General features: G+C 39.2%; 1 protein-coding gene across 2 annotated transcripts, besides 1 other annotated feature; it reads left to right on the top strand.

The window, feature by feature from the left end:
* Window positions 1–1992: 1992 nt before the first annotated feature.
* Window positions 1993–21081, top strand: HSD17B13 (hydroxysteroid 17-beta dehydrogenase 13). Of its 2 annotated transcripts, NM_178135.5 has the most exons (7): window positions 1993–2243; window positions 6439–6546; window positions 7652–7783; window positions 9276–9382; window positions 10915–11052; window positions 14516–14632; window positions 19567–21081. In NM_178135.5, the coding sequence occupies exons 1-7, from the start codon at window positions 2034–2036 to the stop codon at window positions 19655–19657; spliced, it is 903 nt and encodes a 300-aa protein (NP_835236.2). In that variant the 5' UTR covers window positions 1993–2033; the 3' UTR covers window positions 19658–21081. The 2 variants fall into 2 exon arrangements, with proteins under 2 accessions (NP_835236.2, NP_001129702.1); NM_001136230.3 differs by lacking the exon at window positions 6439–6546.
* Window positions 7004–7298: an enhancer, noted in NCBI's record as "tiled region #11108; HepG2 Activating DNase matched - State 9:DNaseU". NCBI's record gives its function as "activates a minimal TATA promoter and a strong SV40 promoter by Sharpr-MPRA in HepG2 cells {active_cell/tissue: HepG2}" and the evidence as "EXISTENCE:reporter gene assay evidence [ECO:0000049][PMID:27701403]".
* Window positions 21082–22455: the final 1374 nt, after the last annotated feature.

Genomic DNA, 22455 nt, shown 5'->3' with positions numbered 1-22455 from the left:
AAACAAGTTGATATGTAAAGCCCTTAAATCAGTCCATGATATATAGTGATTAACACATTCGCATTCTTACTATAATTAGTATTTGATTTATATAACCATTCACTACTTGCAAAACTATTTCATAAACATATTCTCTTATTTGATCCTTATAGCCACTTTGTGTGTTGGCATATGAGGGAAGGTTGAGGTTGTTATGTGCTCTGAAGGTCTATGTTGGGTAATGTGTGCTTTTTTAAAAAATATCTATTTTCTAGTTAAGGAAACTGTAGCATAGAGAAAATAAATAGGATTGCTAGAAATCACACACACGTAACATACAATTTACCATTTTAACTATTTTGTAATGTACAGATCAGTAGCATTAAGCACATTCACATTGTTGTATAACCATCACCACCATTCACCTGCGGAGCTTTCATCATCCTAACTGAAACTCCATACTCATTAAACAATAATTCCCCATTCCTTTTCTCCTCATCCCCTAGTAACCACCTTACTGCTTTCTGTCTCTCTCTGTGTATTTGACTACTCTAGGTACCTCATATAAATGGAGTCATACAATATTTATACTTTTGCATCTGGCTTATTTCACTTAGCATAATGTCATTAAGGTTCATCTATCTAGTAGTATGTGTCAGAATTTCCTTCCTTTCTAAGGCTGAGTAATATTCCATTGCATGTATATATCATATTTTGTTTATCTGTTGATGAACACTGGGGTTGTTCCCACTTCTTGGCTATTGGAAGTTGCTATAGGCTGCATGTGTTCCTTCAAAATTCATATTATGAAATCCTATCTCCCAGTGTGATGGTTTTAGGAAGTGAGACCTTTGGGAGGTGATTAGGTCATGAGAGCTCTGCCATGGGAATAATTGCCCTTATACAAGAGAACACGGAGGGTTTCCTTCCTCCTTCTGCCACTTGAGGTGACAGTGAAATGACAGCCATCTATCAACCAGGAAGCCAGCTCTTACCAGACAAAGAATATGCCAGCGCCTTGATCTTGGACTTCTTGTGAGAAATAAGTTTCTGGAATTTATAAACCACCTGGTCAATGGTAATTTGTTACAGCAGCAGACAAAGACAGAAGCCACCCCACTTTAAAGTTGAGATTCCCGACTCCTGGTCTAATGCTCTTTCCAGTATTATCACAAAGGGAACTGATGGTTCTGTATCCTAAAATCTCCCCCAAACTCAAGAGATTTTCAGGGAAATGGTCATCATGTGTAAAATAATTAGCCAGTTGAAATATTGATGCTGAGCTTTTGTGAATAAATGAATCAAATAGCTAAGCTGGGTTCATTCAGACTTTATCTAAGTTTCTTTAAGCTTATCTCTACATTCTCCTTTTTCATATTGAAAAAAGGTAACAATTTCCAGAAAGATACCAACAGATCATTAGCTGATGCAGTATCTCCAGAATTCTTTTTCTTTTTTTTTTAGACCAGGCCTTGTTCTGTTGCTTAGGCTGGAGCGCAGTGGCACAATCACAGCTCACTGCACCACGAACTCATGGACTGAAGCAATCCTCCTGCCTCAGCCTCCTGGGTAGCTGGGACTACAGACACATGCCACCATATCCAGCTAATTTTTTTCTATAGTTTTTTTTTTTTTTTTTGAGACAGGGTCTTACTATGTTGCCCAGACTGGTCTCGAACTCCTGGGCTCAAGCAATCCTCTGCCTCAGCCTCCCAAAGTGCTGGGATTACAGATGTGAGCCACTGCACCTGGCCCCTAGAATTGTTTCTAGAGGTGAAACTTCAAGGTGAAATATAGTACATAACTGCTTTTCAGATAAACAAGTCCAGAGAGCACACTCTCTTGTGCTCTTGGCATCACTTGGCATCACTTCATATTTGAGGTGTTTCAAACCCATTAGAACACGTGAACAAGGCCTGCTTCCAAAGCTGGCTTCCATCTGGTAGTCCCATTAACAACTGGGCACACCCCTTCCCTAGAGCTCTGTGTAGACAGTACCTCCTCCCTAGGACTACACAAGGACTGAACCAGAAGGAAGAGGACAGAGCAAAGCCATGAACATCATCCTAGAAATCCTTCTGCTTCTGATCACCATCATCTACTCCTACTTGGAGTCGTTGGTGAAGTTTTTCATTCCTCAGAGGAGAAAATCTGTGGCTGGGGAGATTGTTCTCATTACTGGAGCTGGGCATGGAATAGGCAGGCAGACTACTTATGAATTTGCAAAACGACAGAGCATATTGGTTCTGTGGGATATTAATAAGGTAATGTATACATCTTCCAACTTTTTAAAGTCACAGAGTAAGATATGTATTTTAAGAATTATTTGACTTACCATCTACTTATCTTTGTATTTTTGTTTTTCAAAGTTTGATAAATTCCCTGGTCCCTTAGTCTGTATATGTGTCAGGTTAGTTAGATGAAGGGAATGTAATTAAGAACTAAGCAGCGATTTTTATGACATGGTGTGCAGGTTGATAGAAAGACTCAGGAGCCAGTCTCCTTCCAAGCTGCTAAATGAGGCAAGTCACATATTATCTCTCAGCCTGTTTTCTTGGCTCTGAAGTGGGGATAATAACTTAGGGGATGGGCAAGAACGGGATCTGAAAATTACAGCTACAAACAAAAGTCAAACGAAGAACTTGCAACAGAAACCTTTAGTGCCTCCCCTCATGCACAAGCAACACAGTTCTAAAATATTTACTGTCTGACCCTTTACAGAAAATGTTTGCCAGTCCGTAGTCAAAAGGATTAAATAAGTAATATTTTCAGCACTTAGCATATGATAAACGATACGTGGCACATGATAAACAATAACTGTGTTAAATAAAATATGTGCGCAGTGAGTCAGGCTTTTCCTTGGACATTAGTATTTTTCCTGTGTTCTTACTTGTAAACACTACATTAACAACCCCAAATAAAACTGAAGGAACTGAAATCTTGTATCATTTTCTCTAAACTTGTAAATTCTGGTAAGGCCATGAAAATATATGCAGAGAAGTGTTTACAGGATTTTAGGATTGGAAAAATTGTGAAGTACTCCTTGAGAATCACATTTTCTGCAAATTACAGTGGTTTTAATTACCATTATATTATTACTTTCTCATGTTCTTTGCTGTCATGTTTAGTTGAAACCTAAAATGTCTCTTACACTTAGAGAACTAATTCTTTTCTGTTTTTTTTCTGAATAGTGAAGAATACTATACAAAAAAGCTACTACATTTTTATTTAACAGATATGAGCATTTATATAATAGAGGAGTTGATGTATATAAAAATGATTTGCCATCTTTTTGGTCTTTGAAGAAATTCGAATGAACTTTCTGGAAGATAGCAAGAATTTACAAATAGAGAAAATTGTTGCCTGCTGTTCTCAGGCATTTGTCCAAAAATATAAATAAGTATAAATCTATGAAAAGGGCTTGATGAAATCTAACCTTCAAATCTCTTTCCAGATGTGTATTTTTGGGGAAAGGGCTATATTTATTAAGTTTTTTTTAAATTTTAAAATTTCCAGAGACAAGAGAAAAGTAAATTAGAAGGAAGTCGTATTAAAAATGACTTAAGGGCGGGTGCAGTGGCTCACACCTGTAATCCCAGCACTTTGGGAGACGGAGGTGGGCAGATTGCTGGAGCCCAGGAGTTCAAGACCAGCCTGGGCAGCACAGCAAAACCCCCAACTCTACAAAAAATACAAAAATTAGCTGGGTGCGGGGGTGCACACCCGTAGTCCCAGCTACTCGGGAGGCTGAGGTGGGAGGATCGTTTCAGTTCAGGAAGCCAAGGCTGCAATGAGCTATGATGGCATCATTGCACTCCAAGCTGGGCAATAGAGCCAGGCTCTGTCTCAAAAAAAATAAAAAAAGACTTAAGAAAAATAGGTAACCCAACCTCAAAAATTCTCTTTGAATCATTAAATTTCATGGTTAAACATTTAAGCTACTGAATGATTCACTCTAAGGCTGTAATGTAACTCAGATCTCCTTTAGGCGAGGAAGATGCTGGCTGAGTTTTCATCATAACTGGCTCCTTTTGCCCTGTGAGATGAGAGACACAGTAGCAGTTTGGCTCTTATGCAATCTAAACTGTTGCGTTGGGAATACGGTTCAAAAAACACATTGGAGTTTAAGCTAAAGCAAGTGTTTTGCTAACAAAAAGACAAGGCATCACATTTTGCAATTGTCTAGCTCAGTTATAAAACAGAAGAATAGGCCGGACGCGGTGGCTCACGCCTGTAATCCCAGCACTTTGGGAGGCCGAGACGGGCGGATCACGAGGTCAGGAGATCGAGACCATCCTGGATAACACAGTGAAACCCCGTCTCTACTAAAAATACAAAAAAATTAGCCAGGCGTAGTGGCGGGCGCCTGTAGTCCCAGCTACTCGGGAGGCTGAGGCAGGAGAATGGTGTGAACCCGGGAGGCGGAGCTTGCAGTGAGCCGAGATGACGCCACTGCACTCCAGCCTGGGCGACAGAGCGAGACTCCGTCTCAAAAAAAAAAAAAAAAAAAAAACTGAAGAATAATTAATTCTTCAATCAAAACATCTGATGAATGCTCTGGTAACTTATGCTCTCTACTGACCTAGAAACAAATGAGAGAGTATGGTGTGGTTTGTGCAATCTGGCAGTGAGCAAGCTACCAACTAAATCAGTGAAAGACTCTCCTATTCTTTTTTTACTCTTCTGCAATCCCACAAAAGGCTATTTGAGGGGATACTGACTTTGAGACTGGGTCCTAACATCCATGTTTGGGGAGTTCAGGCTGCTGCTCCAGGGTTTAGCCTACAGTAGCGAAATACAAAGGACCCAGAGACCACTCATTCAAGGTTTGCCCTAAATAGCAGCAACACCACTGTCATCTCAATACACGAAGAATAGGGCTTTTCAGGTATCCTTGCCTCTTTGTCACAGAGAAGAGTTTACAGATTGTGAGACGGAAAAGTATAATTTTTAAAACCTTATAATATTTTCTATAAAAGTCACCTGAGGTGAAAACTTGAAAAGAATTATAATTTTCCAGAATGTGAGTCAAGAAACATTAGAGCAATTTTATCTTAGGAAAGAGGTCTTTGAATTTAGGCTGAAAGTAAATTGCTCTGTCTCCATGTCCTATGGTTATGGGCAAGTTTGGTACATAAATGAGAAATCCATCCAGTGGCCTTGCCCATCTCACTCCCAAACACCTGAAGAATGTAATGTTATATCTCCTAGAGTAGCAGCATGGTCTCCCTATGAAAGTCCTTCTTCTTTAAGGAGACTTCTTTCCCTTCCCTCCTAGGAGGATGAGTCAGAATCATCAAGAAAAATATGATGGGCAGAGGCATACAGTTTACCATTACCACTAGTTTAGAATTACTACTTAGCACTTTACTGCCTATTACATAGTTGGTGCTCAACAAATGTATGATAAATTAATGGTTGAGTTTTTCTTTCTTCTCCATATTCATCTTCCATGACACCACGAAGAGCAATGTTTTTCAAGAATGTTCTTCAAGGTTTGAAAGTAGCCTGCTTTAGAGAAACTGCCTACTGTACAGCCTCCAACCAAGAGGAAAAGCTGAAAAAAGCATGAAGGGATTTTGTTTTGTTTTGTTTGTTTTGGTTTTAATATGAGCATTCCCTGGCAGAAAAGCCAGGGGTAATCTCATTGCAACTAGGCAATCACTCTCAAGAAATTTTCTAACAAATAAGGAGGCCAATTTTTATTTTATTTTGAGACGAAGTCCCACTCTGTCACCCAGGTTGGAGTGCAATGGAATGATTTCAGCTCACTGCAACCTCCGCCTCCCGGGTTCAAGTGATTCTCCTGTCTAAACTTCCCGAGTAGCTGGGATTACAGGCTCCCACCACCACGCCCAGCTAATTTTTTGTATTTTTAGTAGAGATGGGGTTTCACCATTTTGGCCAGACTGGTCTCAAACTCCTGACCTCAAGTGATCCACCCTCCTCGGCCTCCTAAAGTGCTGGGATTACAGGCGTGAGCCACCACACCTGACCCAGGAGGCCAATTTTTAAAAGGTTAACTAATCTTCATGTCCAAAATGAATGTTAATTGTTCATTTTGGACATGAATGTTAATTTTTTTTTTTTTTTTTTTTGAGACAGAGTCTCACTCTGTTGCCCAGGCTGGAGTCCAGTGGCACTATCTCCACTCACTGCAACTTCCTCCTCCCAGGTTCAAGCAATTATCCTGCCTCAGCCTCCCAAGTAGCTGGGATTACAGGCCCACACCATCAGGCCTGGCTAATTTTTGTATTTTTAGTAGAGACGGGGTTTCACCATGTTGGCCAGGCTGGTCTTGAACTCCTGACCTCGTGATCCGCCCTCCTCGGCCAACCAAAGTGCTGGGATTACAGGCGTGAGCCACCGCGCCTAGCCGAATGTTAATTGTCTAAAAATTTTTCTTCTCCAATGTCTTCTCCTCCACTTTTTTCGGAATTTGTTTCTTCCTAATTACAGCGCGGTGTGGAGGAAACTGCAGCTGAGTGCCGAAAACTAGGCGTCACTGCGCATGCGTATGTGGTAGACTGCAGCAACAGAGAAGAGATCTATCGCTCTCTAAATCAGGTGAGACTGCAGGTTCACAAATTTCTTCAGATTATTTTGTTTCCTAGGACGCTGACGTGGAAAATGAGAAAGGTCTTTATGACTGCCTGATTTAAATTGGATTTTAGCTGCTAACTGAAGTAGTTATGTCACCAAGGAAGGATATATACTTTTTTTCTTGTATGTAATCCACTCAGCTCTGCCCATTATTATTGTTCATATTATTAATCAATTTCATTCTGATCAGAAGTGTGAGCAGTGGCACAGAGTGACTGACAAAAGATTTATCATCAGGGAATATGGATCACTTCCTAGTTTTGTTTTAGTCCTATTAACTTTGCAGTAATTCCAGCTTCTCTTTAATTATTTCCCTTGTGAGATTTTATTTTGGTGTTAATGTAGTCTTCTGTAGAAAATGTAATATTAATAATTATTATCACAATTATTTTAAAAGAGTAAATACCAAATAATCACAATGAACTAAGCACTCTAACAAACTTTACATTTTTTAATTCAATCCCTACAATAACTCTGTAAACTTCATTTTACAGATAAGCAAATTATGACTCAGAGAGGTTAAGCCAGACCCAGGTCATGTAGTTATTAGGTTATGAAACCAGGATTTCTCAACCAGCACTTTAGACCAGGTGCGGTGGTTCACACATGTAATCCCAGCACTTTGTGAGGCCAAGGTGGAAGGATCACATGAGACCAAGAGTTCAAGACCAGCCCAGGCAACATAGTGAGACCCTATCTCTAAAAAAAAAAAAAAAAAAAAAAAAAAAAGTTTAAAGAAAAACACATTTTTAAAAAATGAACACTTTAAAAATATTTGGTCAGAATTTATATAGGAATTTATCAACATAAATGTTAATTTCACTTTACTGATAAACTTGCAAAACATGATGTGCTGGGTACTGAAATTTAGATGTTAAAAGAACAGTTTATCCCACCTTTATGACAGTGTTCCCTTGGCCTCCACGATTTGAGCTCAACAGTCTGTCTTGCCTGAACTCTGAGAGACCTCATACAATAGAAGAAAGACTCTCATCTTTGGATTATATTGGTCCCAAAACTTTGAGTTTGAATAATACACCCAGTGAAAGTGTTCTTTCAATTTCAAAAGGTGAAGAAAGAAGTGGGTGATGTAACAATCGTGGTGAATAATGCTGGGACAGTATATCCAGCCGATCTTCTCAGCACCAAGGATGAAGAGATTACCAAGACATTTGAGGTCAACATCCTAGGACATTTTTGGGTGAGTGTGAGTCAGAAACATTTCTGATTTGTGCACCTTCTCTTAAGATACATGAAACTTATAACGGAGTTCACATACTTCTGGACAGGAAACTGGCCAGATCTTTGCCTTAATCAAGAATCATTAAATTTGTTTGAGTAGAAGAGCCACAGAGTCTCTGACACAAGGACACAGAATTCAAGTGGACACAACACACCAGAATGTAAGCTACTTGGTCTGTCTTGTCCACCAGTATCTGACACAAAGCTTGGCATGTACCAGGAGCTCAACAAATGTTTGTGGAGGTTTGTTAAGGGTTGTCAGTGTACATCTTTTCAATGCTGTCACTTGTGACTTCATTTTTTTCCCTCCACACCATGATTTTGTAATGTGTCCTCATTTTGTGGAATTTTAGAATGGAAAGGACATCAGAAGTAATTACTTGGATGTATATAGGATCGAGGACACTTTTGGACGAGACTCTGAGGCAAGTGTTCTAGATCCATGGGGTGCTGGAACTGAGAAATGCAGCTATACAGACCTCATATAATTGGTTAGTTTTGTGGGAGATGGAAATATCAACTTCAACTGCCTTTGTATAGAAATTTTTATGATTAATCTTCCAGTGCCTCAATATTAGTGTAGAATCTAGGGCAGATCTGGATTCTAGAAGAAAGAAGAAAAAAAAGAGATGTGTCCCCCTTACCTTTACCAGCTCTTCACATATGTGAATTGGCTCCCATGCCCACCAAACTACACGGAGACCTCATACATTAGCTACCTATAGCTGCATAACAAATTATACAAAACTTAGTGGTTTAAAGCAACAATGTATGTTCACTATCCTCTCACAGTTTCTATGGGTTGGGAATTTGGAGGTAGCTTGGGTTGGGAGTTCTAGTTCTATGAATTTGCATAGGATTTATTAAATTCTTATAAAATTTTATTGATGTTTCTCACAAAAGAGGTTTTTGGAAAAAAAGAAAGACTTGTTTTCTGTAACATCAACATATAATATACAATATTACAAATAGGGAGATAGTGAATTCAATCATGATTCATTAGTGTGGTGTAGAACTCTCAGCTTACACTACTCAACTGTCTTAATACAGTTACACAAGATTTCACTCTTTTAATTAGAATGATAAAGCCCCAAACCAAAAAATTATATGACACCAAATTATCATAAGGAATAATTTTAGTTCTGAAAACTCTGAATTTTTCCCTTAATATTGTTTAGATGACATATCCAAAAAAGGATCTATTTGATTCCTTCTGAAGGGAAGGAGGGGGAGTACTGAGATTAGTGTTGGCATGGGGCTTACCATACCAATAAATTTGTATCTTTATTTCTATCATTTGTAAAGAATTAATCATGGAATGCTTGGAAGTATTTTATTTCATTGTATAAGTTCTCTCAAATGCCTTTCTGTCTTAACAAAAATAAAACTACCTGATTTGGAAACCTAACGTCTATGTCATTGTCTTTCTTCTTTCTGCAATGATCCTTAAGATCACAAAAGCACTTCTTCCATCGATGATGGAGAGAAATCATGGCCACATCGTCACAGTGGCTTCAGTGTGCGGCCACGAAGGGATTCCTTACCTCATCCCATATTGGTAAGTATCACATGCCAGCCATGTTATATATTTTTATACTTTGAAGGGAGCATTACACTTCAAATTGTTACCACTGGAGAGTCCTGGTTCTTGGCATCTTGAACAAAGAATTGGACAAAACTCACCAACAAAGCCAGGAAAGAATGAAGCAACAAAAGCAGAGATTTATTGAAAATGAAAGTACGCTTTACAGGGTGGGAGTGGGCCCAAGCACAGGGGCTCAAGAGCCAATTACAGAATTTTCTGGGGTTTAAATACCCCCTAGAGGTTTCCACTGGTTACTTGGTGTACGCCCTATGTAAATGAAGAGGATGAATTAAAGTTACAGAGTCGTTTACTCAGTGTACACCATATGTAAATGGAGAGGATATTTCCTGTCATAGCTGGAGTGTTTCCATTTGATTTAGTTCTAGGAAGTCAGCATGAATCGGCCTTATGTTCCCTGCCTCCAGACCCTGTTCTCCTGCCTCAAGATTACAATGCTGAGAGCAGAGTGATTTGGATTTACAGAATTTAAATTTATAGTAGTTTAGAATGATTTTTTAAATGACTTTTTCTAAAACAATGAAACCAGGTTGTAATTATATTTAAGATATTTTTAGATTTCTGCAAACTCCTCTGTAGAACAATGAGAGAAAACAGTAATGCCAAGCATGTTTCCATTGTTTCCTGGAATAAGAAACAGAAACCCCACAGACTGAGAAGCAAAACCTACAGAAGCTAAAATGAACACATGTCTATGTCATGGCCTTGGTGCCCAAGATAAGACAATCAGAGTGGTCCCTGGATCAAAACATTTTACAGTGTGCTTGTGCCATGAAAGTGTGTGTGTGTGTGTGTGTGTGTGTGTGAGAGAGAGAGAGAGAGAGAAAACGACTCTACCTGACTAAAAGTTGCAGATACCACACTCCATGCACCACCAAAGACATAAAGGGAAGGAGGTGAGAGGCGTTAAGGATGTACTGCTGTATTTGCCAAATATCCTTTCCTGTAAACTCTTCTCCAGATCCTCATAATAAAATTAAGAGGCCAAAGTGGCAACCATTGTCAAGAGAAAAACTATCAACCATTGTCAAGAGAATAACTCAGTTATTGAGAGAGAGAGGAGAAATGAGCAGAGTCCTACAGAAGTCTGTCAACACAGATACCAGTTTTGTAGAATTTCTAAATGTATTTTTCCTGATTCATATTTTTCAAAATAAAAGCAGCAATAAAAACTGATTAGAAAACAGTTTGAAGATTCAATGGAAAAACCTTACATGTAGGATGGAAAACTGAACATTAAGCCAATCAATAGAGTTATTTTTGTTCTTTTGTTATCATTGTTGTTTAAGAAATGAGATACGTTCACAATTCTGCTTAATCATGTAAGAAAATGAAAATGAATTGCCATTTATACTCTCAGAAAAATCACAAGTGGCTGATTTTTGGCTTCCACTTGTTCTTAAGCCAAATGATACCGCCTTCTCACAGAAAGCTGAGGATTGGTTTCACTCTCCCTTAGCTAACAATGCTTAATAATTCTCTTACAGTTCCAGCAAATTTGCCGCTGTTGGCTTTCACAGAGGTCTGACATCAGAACTTCAGGCCTTGGGAAAAACTGGTATCAAAACCTCATGTCTCTGCCCAGTTTTTGTGAATACTGGGTTCACCAAAAATCCAAGCACAAGGTAAGGTCAAAATCAAGTTAGAATGGGTATGTGGTATGATAAATTGATATGAAAACTAATGAGAAATGTTTAGGCAGGCCAACTAATAGAAGAAAATGAAGAAGGAAAAATAATTTTTCTTATTATTATTATTATCTTGAAATTAAAGGAATAAAGGGGGAAAACACATTAGGGACTAGCAGGAATGATCAGCCACCGATGAACTGGGATATTTATTTGTGTCCGGGAGAAAGCACATACATTTGATCACCGTTACCACCCTGTCTTTAAAATGCAAATGTTCCAAGGACCAGCAAATAAATTGAGTATCTAGCTCCTTAGTCAAGGTGAATTTCTGCAAGAACTCTTGTCTCTGGTGAGACAGGATTTGAGACCACAAGAGAAGAAAAATTAGTCCTGAAAGGAGAAGAAAAAAGCAGGAAGGTGTGGATAAGAACCCGAAAATTAAGCCATCTGCTTAACAAATTTTTCTAATCCTAGTATATATTCTGCTGCAGGTTAACAAAATATACTAAGCTTAATGATTCGAAACCAATTTTTTACTGGAAGGGAATTAATCCTAAATATATTCATTCAAAAGAACTAAACAATTCTCTGTTGAGTGCCGCCTCATTTGAGGATACTGACTCTTACAGCCTGAGTTAGCTATGTGGTCTCTGCAGCTGGAATCACTCCCTGCCACTGGAGTCCTTCATGGTGTTAGACCATAGGTACTGTTGACTAAAGAAAAAAAAAAGTTTTTGTTTTTATTTTTGTTTTTTTTGAGACAGAGTCTCACTCTGTCACCCAGGCTGGAGTACAGTGGCGCGATCTCAGCTCACCGCAACCTCCGCCTTTCTGGGTTCAAGCAATTCTCCTTCCTCAGCCTCCTGAGTATTTGGATTACAGGCGCCCACCACCACGCCTGGCTAATTTTTGTATTTTTAGTAGAGACGGGGTTTCACCATGTTGGCCAGGCTGGTCTCAAACTCCTGACCTCAGGTGTCCTACCTGCCTTGGCCTCCTAAAATGCTGGGATTACAGGAGTGAGCCACCATGCCCGGCCAAAAAAATAAGTTTTTAAAGAATTAAAGGTCATCCTGGCTAACACAGTGAAACCCCGTCTCTACTAAAAAACACAAAAAAATTAGCCGGGCGTGGTGGCGGGCGCCTGTAGTCCCAGCTGCGCGGGAGGCTGAGGCAGGAGAATGGCGTGAACCCGGGAGGCGGAGCTTGCAGTGAGCCGAGATCGCGCCACTGCACTCCAGCCTGGGCGACAGAGCGAGACTCCGTCTCAAAAAAAAAAAAAAAAAAAAAAAAAAAAAGAATTAAAGGTGTTAATTTTATTTAGAAGCCTTACTGAAGACTACAGTCGGAGGCCTATAGCCTGAGAGCAGCCCTTTAGAGAGGTTCAGTTGAACTGTTCTGATAGTGGGGGCCATGTGCTCTATCCTGTATTGTCTTCAAAGCATCTTTCCAGAGAGCTGCACATTGTCACAGAGTCAGGGACTTTGTGAAATTATGCTGACAACCAGAAGTGAGTAAACGTGGCTTCTTACATTTGCTACGTTGTCTCACAGTACTTAATAAGTATGCAATATGTAAGTAAATACTATAGTACTATTGCAACTCCTGATTGTTTTCTTAGACAAGGAATTGGGCCCAATAAAAACCCTCTTGGTAGGCATTCAGGCTTCGTGTACCATGAGCTTTCCTAAGGGTATCCTGCCACTCTTGGGGAAGGCATGATAGATGAGGGGAGTAAGGATAATGGAACTCTGGGTACAGGGTTCCTGGGGGCTAACTTAGAGGTAGACACAGGCAATGCTAAATATTTGGGATTGATTTTATAGAGGTTGCTAGATTGTGAATTTCCTTAGTAAGGGCTAAGGCATTGATATGTAATGTCACACTTGGCTCCGAGGCTGGGTTGTTGGATCCATGTAGATGAAATCAGGGAGAGAAAGGGCAGAACGGAGTAATTTAGAAATGTATTGATTTGTATTACTCTCTGTTGGCTTGCTATTCAAGGCAGTGGAGAACTCAATCACATAATAATCTGCAGCAAACCACAGATCATCCCAGGGAATGAAGTTTTAACATTCGCTGGCTCCCTAACTCCTCACCCAGCCTTTACATTCACTGGCTGTTCAGTCCATGCCTGGACATCTTAATTTGAATACAACATTTTAAATCCATTTTTCTGTCATCATCTTGCACTAACAGACAATTCTACACTAAGCCTATGTTTATGAATATTTCTCAAGAGTACATGTACACAGCCTTCAGTATAAGGAAAACTGGAAGTATGACATACCTCCAGTTGTCATACTCCTTGGGCCCCTCTTAAATTCTCATTAAACTGCAGGATAGGCAAGTCAGAGGTGAATCTCAAATACGAAATTCTTACCGGAAAGGGGTTCCAATCCAGACCCCAAGAGAGGGTTCTTAGATTTCTCGCAAGAAATAATTCGGGGCAAGGCCACAGTGCAAAGCAAAAGCAAGTTTATTAGGAAAGTAAAGGAGTAGAGAACAGCTACTCCATGGAGAAGAATGGCTTGAGCTGCTCCACCAAGGGTATTTAGAGTTACTTCTTGATTATATGCTAAACAAGGGGTGGATTATTCATGAGTTTTCCGGGAAAAGGGTGAGCAATTCCCAGAACTGAGATTTCCTCCCCTTTTTAGGCCATATAGGGTAACTTCCTGCCATTGCCATGGTATTTGTAAACTGTCATAGTGCTGGTGGAAGTGTCTCTTAGCTTGCTAATGTATTATAGTTAGCTTATAATGAGCAGTGAGGACAACCAGAGGTCACTTTCATCACCATCTTGGTTTTGGTGGGTTTTGGCCGGCTTCTTTACTGCACCCTATTTTATCAACAAGGTCTTTATGACCTGAATCTTGTGCCAACCTCCTATCTCATCCTGTGACAAAGAATGCCTTAACTTCCTGGGAATGCAGCCCAGTAGGTGTCAGCCTTATTTTACCCAGACCCTATTCAAGATGGAGTTGCTCTGATTTAAACGCCTCTGACAAAATGACGACCTCAAAACAATCCAGCTTTATGGAATACCTCCACAAGAAAGAAAGTATACTTAGCTATAGAATTTTCTCCTTGCATCCAACAGGCTTTGAGATGTCAGATGTTTCCTTCCTGTCCCATGATTAATCCTAGCCATTCCTCTTTCTTGTCTGGCTCCACTACTCCTTACCATCTAATGCCTCGCCACCATTTTGATATTTTGACTAAGTGAGCTATGAAACACACCTACTGGATATGAAAGTATAAGTTTCTGATAACAAAACATCAACATGGGATGTGGAGGAAGTGGGTAGGGTGGCATTAATGCAGCAAATCCTGGAATATTTTAAATCTTCATTCTAAATTTAGTAAAAATATAGGATAATTTTCCTGCCATCATTTACTTATAAAATTAAAATTTTAGAAAATAAAAATAATATTTTCCTCTTTTTAATCACAGATTATGGCCTGTATTGGAGACAGATGAAGTCGTAAGAAGTCTGATAGATGGAATACTTACCAATAAGAAAATGATTTTTGTTCCATCGTATATCAATATCTTTCTGAGACTACAGAAGTAAGTACAGCACAGAACACCCAAATACTAAAACACCAATAGAGCTTTTTTTTTTGCTTTTTTTTTTTTTAGACAGAGTCTCACTCTGTCACCCTGGCTGGATTGCGGTGGTTGCAGTGGCATGATCTTGGCTCACTGCAACCTCCGCCTCCTGGGTTCAAGCAATTCTCATGCCTCAGACCCCCAAGTAACTGGGATTATAGGTGTGTGCTGCCACACTACACCCAGCTAATTTTTGTATTTTTTGATAGAGACAGGTTTCCCCATGTTGGCCAGGCTGGACTCGAACTCCTGACCTCAAGTTATCCTCCTGTCTCGGCCTCCCAAAGTGCTGGGATTACAGTCATGAGCCACCATGCCTGGCCCAATAGAGCTATTATTATGGAGCATCTTTCAGTTGTGAAAATTGGCATGGAAACTCTCCATCCCTGGGGAGAACAGTTATTTCCTCTGTTATTTTCCTACCCAGTCTATAAAAAGAGAGTGATTCATTTTCTCTACCAAATCTACTGTCTCTGCCCAAACTTTGCTGAAGACTATTCTAACTAAAGGAAACACAGTTTAAAAAGAATGCAATATAGTGAAGTAGTTAATAATAAAGACTCCATTTTTAAAAGTCTGCTGGAAGTTTGGTTGGGATTGCACTGAATCTATAGAGCAATTGGGGAGTATTGACATATCAACAATATTGAGTTTTCTAATCCAAGAACATAATATCTATTTTTAAAATCTTCTTCAAAATCTTTAAATCTTTAAATTGTATTTTGTAGTTTTTGGTGTTTAAGTCTTGCACATATTTTGTCAGATTTATTCCAAAGTATTTCACGGGTTCTTTTTTTTTTTTTTTTTTTTTTTTTTGAGACAGAGTTTCACCCTTGTTGCCCAGGCTGGAGTGCAGTGGCGTGATCTTGGCTCACTGCAGCTTCTGCCTCCTGGCTTCAAGTGATTCTCCTGCCTCAGCCTCCCAAGTAGCTGGGATTACAGGCACCTGCCCCCTCGCCCAACTAACTTTTTGTGTTTGTAGTAGAGACAGGGTTTCACCATGTTGGCCAGGCTGGTCTCGAACTCCTGACCTCATGTGATCCACCTGCCTCAGCCTCCCAAAGTGCTGGGATTACAGGCATGAGCCATCATGCCCAGCCCTATTTGACGGTTTTTGACGCTAATGCAAGTGGCATTTTAAAAAATTTTATATTTCCCATTGTTTGTTGTCAGTATATATTGGATTTTTGTAATTTGATCTCATATTTTGCAGTCTTGCTAAATTGCTAAACCTCTTTTTGCTAAACTCGATAAGCTTTTTTTTTTTTGGTAGATTCCTGGGCCTCTAATTTTCTTTATGGGAAAGTTTTTAATTACAAATTTAATTTCTTTAATAGCTACATGGCTATTCAATTTACTTATTAATTCTTGGTAATGTGTGTCTTTCAAGGAATTTGTCCATTTCATCTAAGTTGTAGAATTTCTTTGGCATAAATTTGTACATAACATTCCCTTATTATCCTTTTAATGTCTTTAGAATGTCTTATTTATTTATTTATTTATTTTTATTATATTTTTTTGAGACAGAGTCTCGCTCTGTTGCCCAGGCTGGAGTGCAGTGGCACAATCTTGGCTCACTGCAAGCTCCGCCTTCTGGGTTCATGCCATTCTCCTGCCTCAGCCTCCCTAGTTGCTGGGACTACAGGCGCCTGCAACCATGCCCAGCTTATTTTTTTTTTTTTTTTTTTTTTTTTTTTTTTTTTTTTTTTTTTTTTAGTAGAGACGGGGTTTCACCCTGTTAGCCAGGATGGTCTCGATCTCCTGACCTGGTGATCCGCCCGCCTCAGCCTCCCAAAGTGCTGGGATTACAGGCGTGAGCCACCAAGCCCAGCCTATTTATTTATTTAGTAGAGACAGTCTCACTTTGCTGCCCAGGCAACAAAGGTTTTGAATGCCTGGCCTCAAGCAGTCCTCCTGCCTTGGCCTCCCAAAGTGCTGGGATTACAGGCATGAGCCACTGCACCTGGCCAAATGAATATGCTGATAATATCTTCTTTATAAGGATGACATAAGAATAAAATAATGTAATACAAACAAAGCCCCTGTCACTGAAAATGTATAGACTTCAAATGTTAAAGTCTTAGAGAACAGAATTTATATGAAATAGCAACAGCAACAATTTCCCAGAGGAAATACTCTCTCAGCTTTCTTCTGAGGAGCAGTTTCTAAATTGAAATTGTATCAGTGAGAAGATAACTATACTAACTTCATAAGCCTTGGGCCTTTTTGAAACAAATCCATATAAACTATGAACAAACTTGAAATAGAACAATTTGAGAACAGGGTACAAACTGCATTGGTGTATCAATTTCAGTATTTGGTTTTAGCTTAAATAGACTGACTTGAGATAACATAAGGAGAACCTTGACCCCCAAGCAACATCATCTCGCGAGTTGACTAGGCCGGGTGTGGTGTCTCACGCCTGTAATTCCAGCACTTTGGGAGGCCACAGCAGGCAGATCACTTGAGGTCAGGCATTCGAGACCAGCCTGGCCAACATGGTGAAACCTCAGCTCTACTAAAGATACGAAAATTAGCAGGCATAGTGGCCTGCACCTGTAATACCAGGCACTCGCAGGAGAATCCCTTGAACCCGGAAGGCGGAGATTGCAGTAAACCATGATTGTGCCACTGCACTCCAGCCTGGGCAACAGGAGACTCTGTCTCGGAAAAATAAATTTTTTAAAAAAATGAAAAAAAATAAAAGTTGACTAAATTAGTGTCTTGGTACTAAGCACTGTAGGAAGTGAGTTTCATGGAACCCCAACTCTCTTGGGGCCCAAAGCAAGTCATATTAATATTGAAAATTACATGCATATACATGCATATGACCAAGGTGATAAAAACAATTATTCTGCCTGAGTTGGAGAATAGTATCCCAGTAAAATAAACAAGAGTCTCAAAGTCTTTTGTATCCTTTGAAGCTGTCATGGTGGTTTGTAACTAGGCAACAGGTATATATTGTTAATCTTCTTTGCATTTAATTCCTTTTATAGAGAGACACAATTTTACGAGCAGATGCAATTACTAGCATGAAGGTTTCTTTGTGAGGGTAGTTAAAAGGCCCACATGAGCTCTCTTCTTATCCTTGTCCTTCTTTCAGCCAGATCTTCCCTGCCCCTTTGCTCATTCCATCTTTCACCCACCTACCCCCAAAACAAGGAAGTAAATCTTGCATTAGTCAACAATACCAAAGTGATTTTCAATATGACTTTCTCTGCAGAATGTTATTATTTCTGCCTCTTTACATTCACATACTGTCTTCCTTTTTTTTTTTTTTTTTTTTTTTTTTTTTAGATTGGGTCTCACTCTGTTGCCCAGGCTGGAGTGCAGTGGCTTGATCTCAGCTCACTGTAACCTCCACCTCCTGAGTTCAAGCAATTCTCCTGCCTCAGCCTCCTGAGTAGCTGGGATTACAGGCATGTGCCACCACACCTGGCTAGTTTTTTTGTATTTTTAGTAGAGACAGGGTTTCACCATGTTGGTCAAGCTGGTCTCGAACTCCTGACCTCATGATCTGACCACCTGTGCCTCTCAAAGTGCTGGGATTACAGGCGTGAGCCACCGGGCCAGCCACTCTCTTCCTTTCAGTTGCCTACTCATCTCTTATGCATTCCTGGACATCAGTTGTCCTTTTGAAGCTTTCCTCCACTATCCCAGCCCATGTGAATCCTCCTTCCAGTTATAGCCCTTAATTCTAGATGGCTGATATTTTTCAATAATTGTTTTAAGATGACCATTTTAGCCTATCAGCTAAACAATATCAAAGACAATAGCTATTTTTCAAGTACTTTAGTTTACCTTATTATAGAGTGCATAATAGATATTCAGTAAATAGTAAAGGAGAGGTGAAGGCTTGCATAGAATGGATTCTGGTGGTGTCTCTTGGTGAGCTTTTAGCATCAAGATTAATCAGCAGTTTCAGCAATGAGCTCAGACCTTCAGTTTTAGATCTTTACTCATATCAGATAAGAGAGTGAGAAGAGTGGTATGTATCAGTGCTTTATTTATATTTGCATCCAATTTGAACTATGAATATTACAAAGGTGCACACATAGGTTCAGACAGATTGATTTAAAATGACCAAAGATGACCTGTCGTAAGCAACCTGGGTATCTTAAGATGCACTCCTTGGAGAGGGAATGTTCCTAAAAACATTTTCAGAGGGACGAACTGTATGAAATTCAGTAAAACATAAATCATGAGGAAAACTGATTACTCTCTTTTTGACATGAAATGAGAGTTTTAATGCATGGTTACGATTATTAACGTACTCCGCTGCAAGACGTTAATAAAGTTACTGTTTTGCAGGCTAGAATGTCTTGATGCTGTAATCAGAACACACTTTTTCCCCTTTCTTCCAGCTTCAAATGCAGATTCATAATTGGGCTGACTTCTAATAACTGCAATGTTTTCTGCCTTGGGCTTGCAGCAGAAGCCTGACAAAATAGTGTTTGTTTAGGCAATAATTTATTTATTTATTTATTGAGATGGAGTTTCATTCTTGTCGCCCAGGCTGGAGTGCAATGGCGTGATCTCGGCTCACTGCAACCTCTGTGTTCAGGCAATAATTTAGACTTTACCTTACTTGTGATTACTATAGCAATTACTATAGCCACAAGGCATAATTTTACTGTCTCATTTCAATTTTATGAATTTGAATGTTTTTACACTTTTCCTAATGAAGTCCACTATGAAGTTATGTCAAAAAAAAAAAAGAAAAAGAAAGATGCACACGTAAAAGAGAGGTGGTTGCAAGAGAAGAAAAGAACGGAGGAAAGTTAAACGCAAACCAGATAACTCTCAGCGTATTCTAAATGACCAAAAACAGAACTCTGTTGTCAAAGATTTTAAATGGAAAATTTTTCAATTTTTTTTTCTTTTTTGTACAGGTTTCTTCCTGAACGCGCCTCAGCGATTTTAAATCGTATGCAGAATATTCAATTTGAAGCAGTGGTTGGCCACAAAATCAAAATGAAATGAATAAATAAGCTCCAGCCAGAGATGTATGCATGATAATGATATGAATAGTTTCGAATCAATGCTGCAAAGCTTTATTTCACATTTTTTCAGTCCTGATAATATTAAAAACATTGGTTTGGCACTAGCAGCAGTCAAACGAACAAGATTAATTACCTGTCTTCCTGTTTCTCAAGAATATTTACGTAGTTTTTCATAGGTCTGTTTTTCCTTTCATGCCTCTTAAAAACTTCTGTGCTTACATAAACATACTTAAAAGGTTTTCTTTAAGATATTTTATTTTTCCATTTAAAGGTGGACAAAAGCTACCTCCCTAAAAGTAAATACAAAGAGAACTTATTTACACAGGGAAGGTTTAAGACTGTTCAAGTAGCATTCCAATCTGTAGCCATGCCACAGAATATCAACAAGAACACAGAATGAGTGCACAGCTAAGAGATCAAGTTTCAGCAGGCAGCTTTATCTCAACCTGGACATATTTTAAGATTCAGCATTTGAAAGATTTCCCTAGCCTCTTCCTTTTTCATTAGCCCAAAACGGTGCAACTCTATTCTGGACTTTATTACTTGATTCTGTCTTCTGTATAACTCTGAAGTCCACCAAAAGTGGACCCTCTATATTTCCTCCCTTTTTATAGTCTTATAAGATACATTATGAAAGGTGACCGACTCTATTTTAAATCTCAGAATTTTAAGTTCTAGCCCCATGATAACCTTTTTCTTTGTAATTTATGCTTTCATATATCCTTGGTCCCAGAGATGTTTAGACAATTTTAGGCTCAAAAATTAAAGCTAACACAGGAAAAGGAACTGTACTGGCTATTACATAAGAAACAATGGACCCAAGAGAAGAAAAGGAAGAAAGAAAGGTTTTTTGGTTTTTGTTTTGTTTTGTTTTGTTTTTTGTTTTTTTGAGATGGAGTCTCACTCTTTCGCCCAGGCTGGAGTGCAGTGGTATGATCTCAGCTCACTGCAAGCTCCACCTCCCGGGTTCACGCCATTCTCCTGCCTCAGCCTCCTGAGTAGCTGGGACTACAGGCGCCCGCCACCACACCCGGCTAATTTTTTGTATTTTTTGTAGAGACGGGGTTTCACCATGTTAGCCAAGATGGTCTCGATCTCCTGACCTCGTGATCCACCTGCCTCGGCCTCCCAAAGTGCTGGGATTACGGGTGTGAGCCACCGTGCCCAGCCTTTTTTTTTTTAATAGAAAAAATAATCCGACTCCCACTACATCAAGACTAATCTTGTTTTGTGTGTTTTTCACATGTATTATAGAATGCTTTTGCATGGACTATCCTCTTGTTTTTATTAAAAACAAATGATTTTTTTAAAAGTCACAAAAACAATTCACTAAAAATAAATATGTCATTGTGCTTTAAAAAAATAACCTCTTGTAGTTATAAAATAAAACGTTTGACTTCTAAACTCTGTCTCTATGAGTGTCCTTCAAGAACCAAGGATGTGGATGGTAACAGCTACATCTGGCAGTTATTAAATGAATCCAGGGGTTTTCTCAACTCTGGTTTCTTTGACAGCAGGAGTGCTGGTTTATCAACTGGAACTTACTGACCCCTTTCTATGTGTGAGATTAAGCACAGTGCTATTGTTTCTAATTTTTTTTCTTAGTCACCGGCAATAATTTTTTTCATAACATTCTTTTAATTTCTTGCCTTATAATCAAGAAATTTATGAGTAAAATGTATTATTTTTAAAGTATGGTTACAAAAATTCAAAAGAGAAACATGGAAAGTAAAAAATAGAAGCTTACCCCCAGCAATCCCATTTCCCAGAGGTCACACTGTCAATGCACAATCTTCCAGTCTTTTACTGATGCATGTTCATGACAAATACATTATATTCTTATTGCATGGGTCGTATCAGTAGTTTCATACCATACATTATGTTCTGTAACTTGCTCTTTTAGCTTACCAACTTATCACAAACAGCTGTTTGTTTCAGTATAGAGAATTCAACTTTTTTTCATGAGTACACAGTACTAAAATGGTACTCTAACCATTCCCTTTTGATAGGCACTTAGGATGTTTCCAGTATTTCTTAGTTCATCTATTTAAATATTAATTTAACAAATACTGAGTGCCCTCAAAGTTCTAGGCCCAGGGAAACATATATGAATAAGGCAAACTCCTTGTCTTAACAGAGCTCACATTCTAGTAGGTGGGACAAACAATAAAGGGACTGCAAATATGAGAGAGAGCATTTAAAGTAGTAGAGTCAGGGAAGAGCACGCTGAGAAAGAACATTTTGCGGACGAACTATTACCATACACAGGCAACTAAAAAATATTTTATGATATACATATTGACAAAAATAGAAACCTCTTAAATTCCAGTGTTAAGTTCAGAGCAGAAAACTTCTTATTTTAATTCCATTTTGGTTTTAATCTTTTATGAATGAAGCTCAGAGAAATGTGCGAGCAAAATATTCATCTCTCTTTGTCCATTTTTCTTGCTTATTTTGAGTGTAGTCCTCCTCCTTAAAAGTTCCACCTGCAGCCAGGCGTGGTGACTCATGCTTGTAATCCTAGCACTTTGGGAGGCCAAGGGGGGCAGATCACCTGAGGTCAGGGGTTCGAGACCAGCCTGGCCAACAAGGCGAAACCCTGTCTCTACTAAATATACAAAATTTAGCTGGGCATGGTGGTACATGCCTGTAATCCCAGCTACTCAGGAGGCTGAGGCAGGAGAATCACTTGAACCTGGGAGGCGGAGGTTGCAGTGAGCTAAGATCACGCCACCGCACTCCAGCCTGGGCAACAGAGTGAGACTCCGTCTCAAAAAA

This window comes from Homo sapiens, chromosome 4 (genome assembly GCF_000001405.40).
Source record: "Homo sapiens chromosome 4, GRCh38.p14 Primary Assembly".
In the NCBI taxonomy this organism is placed as follows: domain Eukaryota; kingdom Metazoa; phylum Chordata; class Mammalia; order Primates; family Hominidae; genus Homo; species Homo sapiens.
The sequence above is the reverse complement of the archived record's forward strand: the minus strand, read 5'-3'. Positions and strand labels throughout refer to the sequence as shown.

Bases quoted from the DNA above. Each gene is read 5' to 3' on its own strand.
- HSD17B13 (NM_178135.5), top strand. From the start codon at position 2,034: ATGAACATCATCCTAGAAATCCTTCTGCTTCTGATCACCATCATCTAC. The intron at 2,244-6,438 runs GTAATGTATACA...TCCTAATTACAG, and splicing joins TTCTGTGGGATATTAATAAG to CGCGGTGTGGAGGAAACTGC. The intron at 14,633-19,566 runs GTAAGTACAGCA...TTTTTTGTACAG, and splicing joins ATCTTTCTGAGACTACAGAA to GTTTCTTCCTGAACGCGCCT.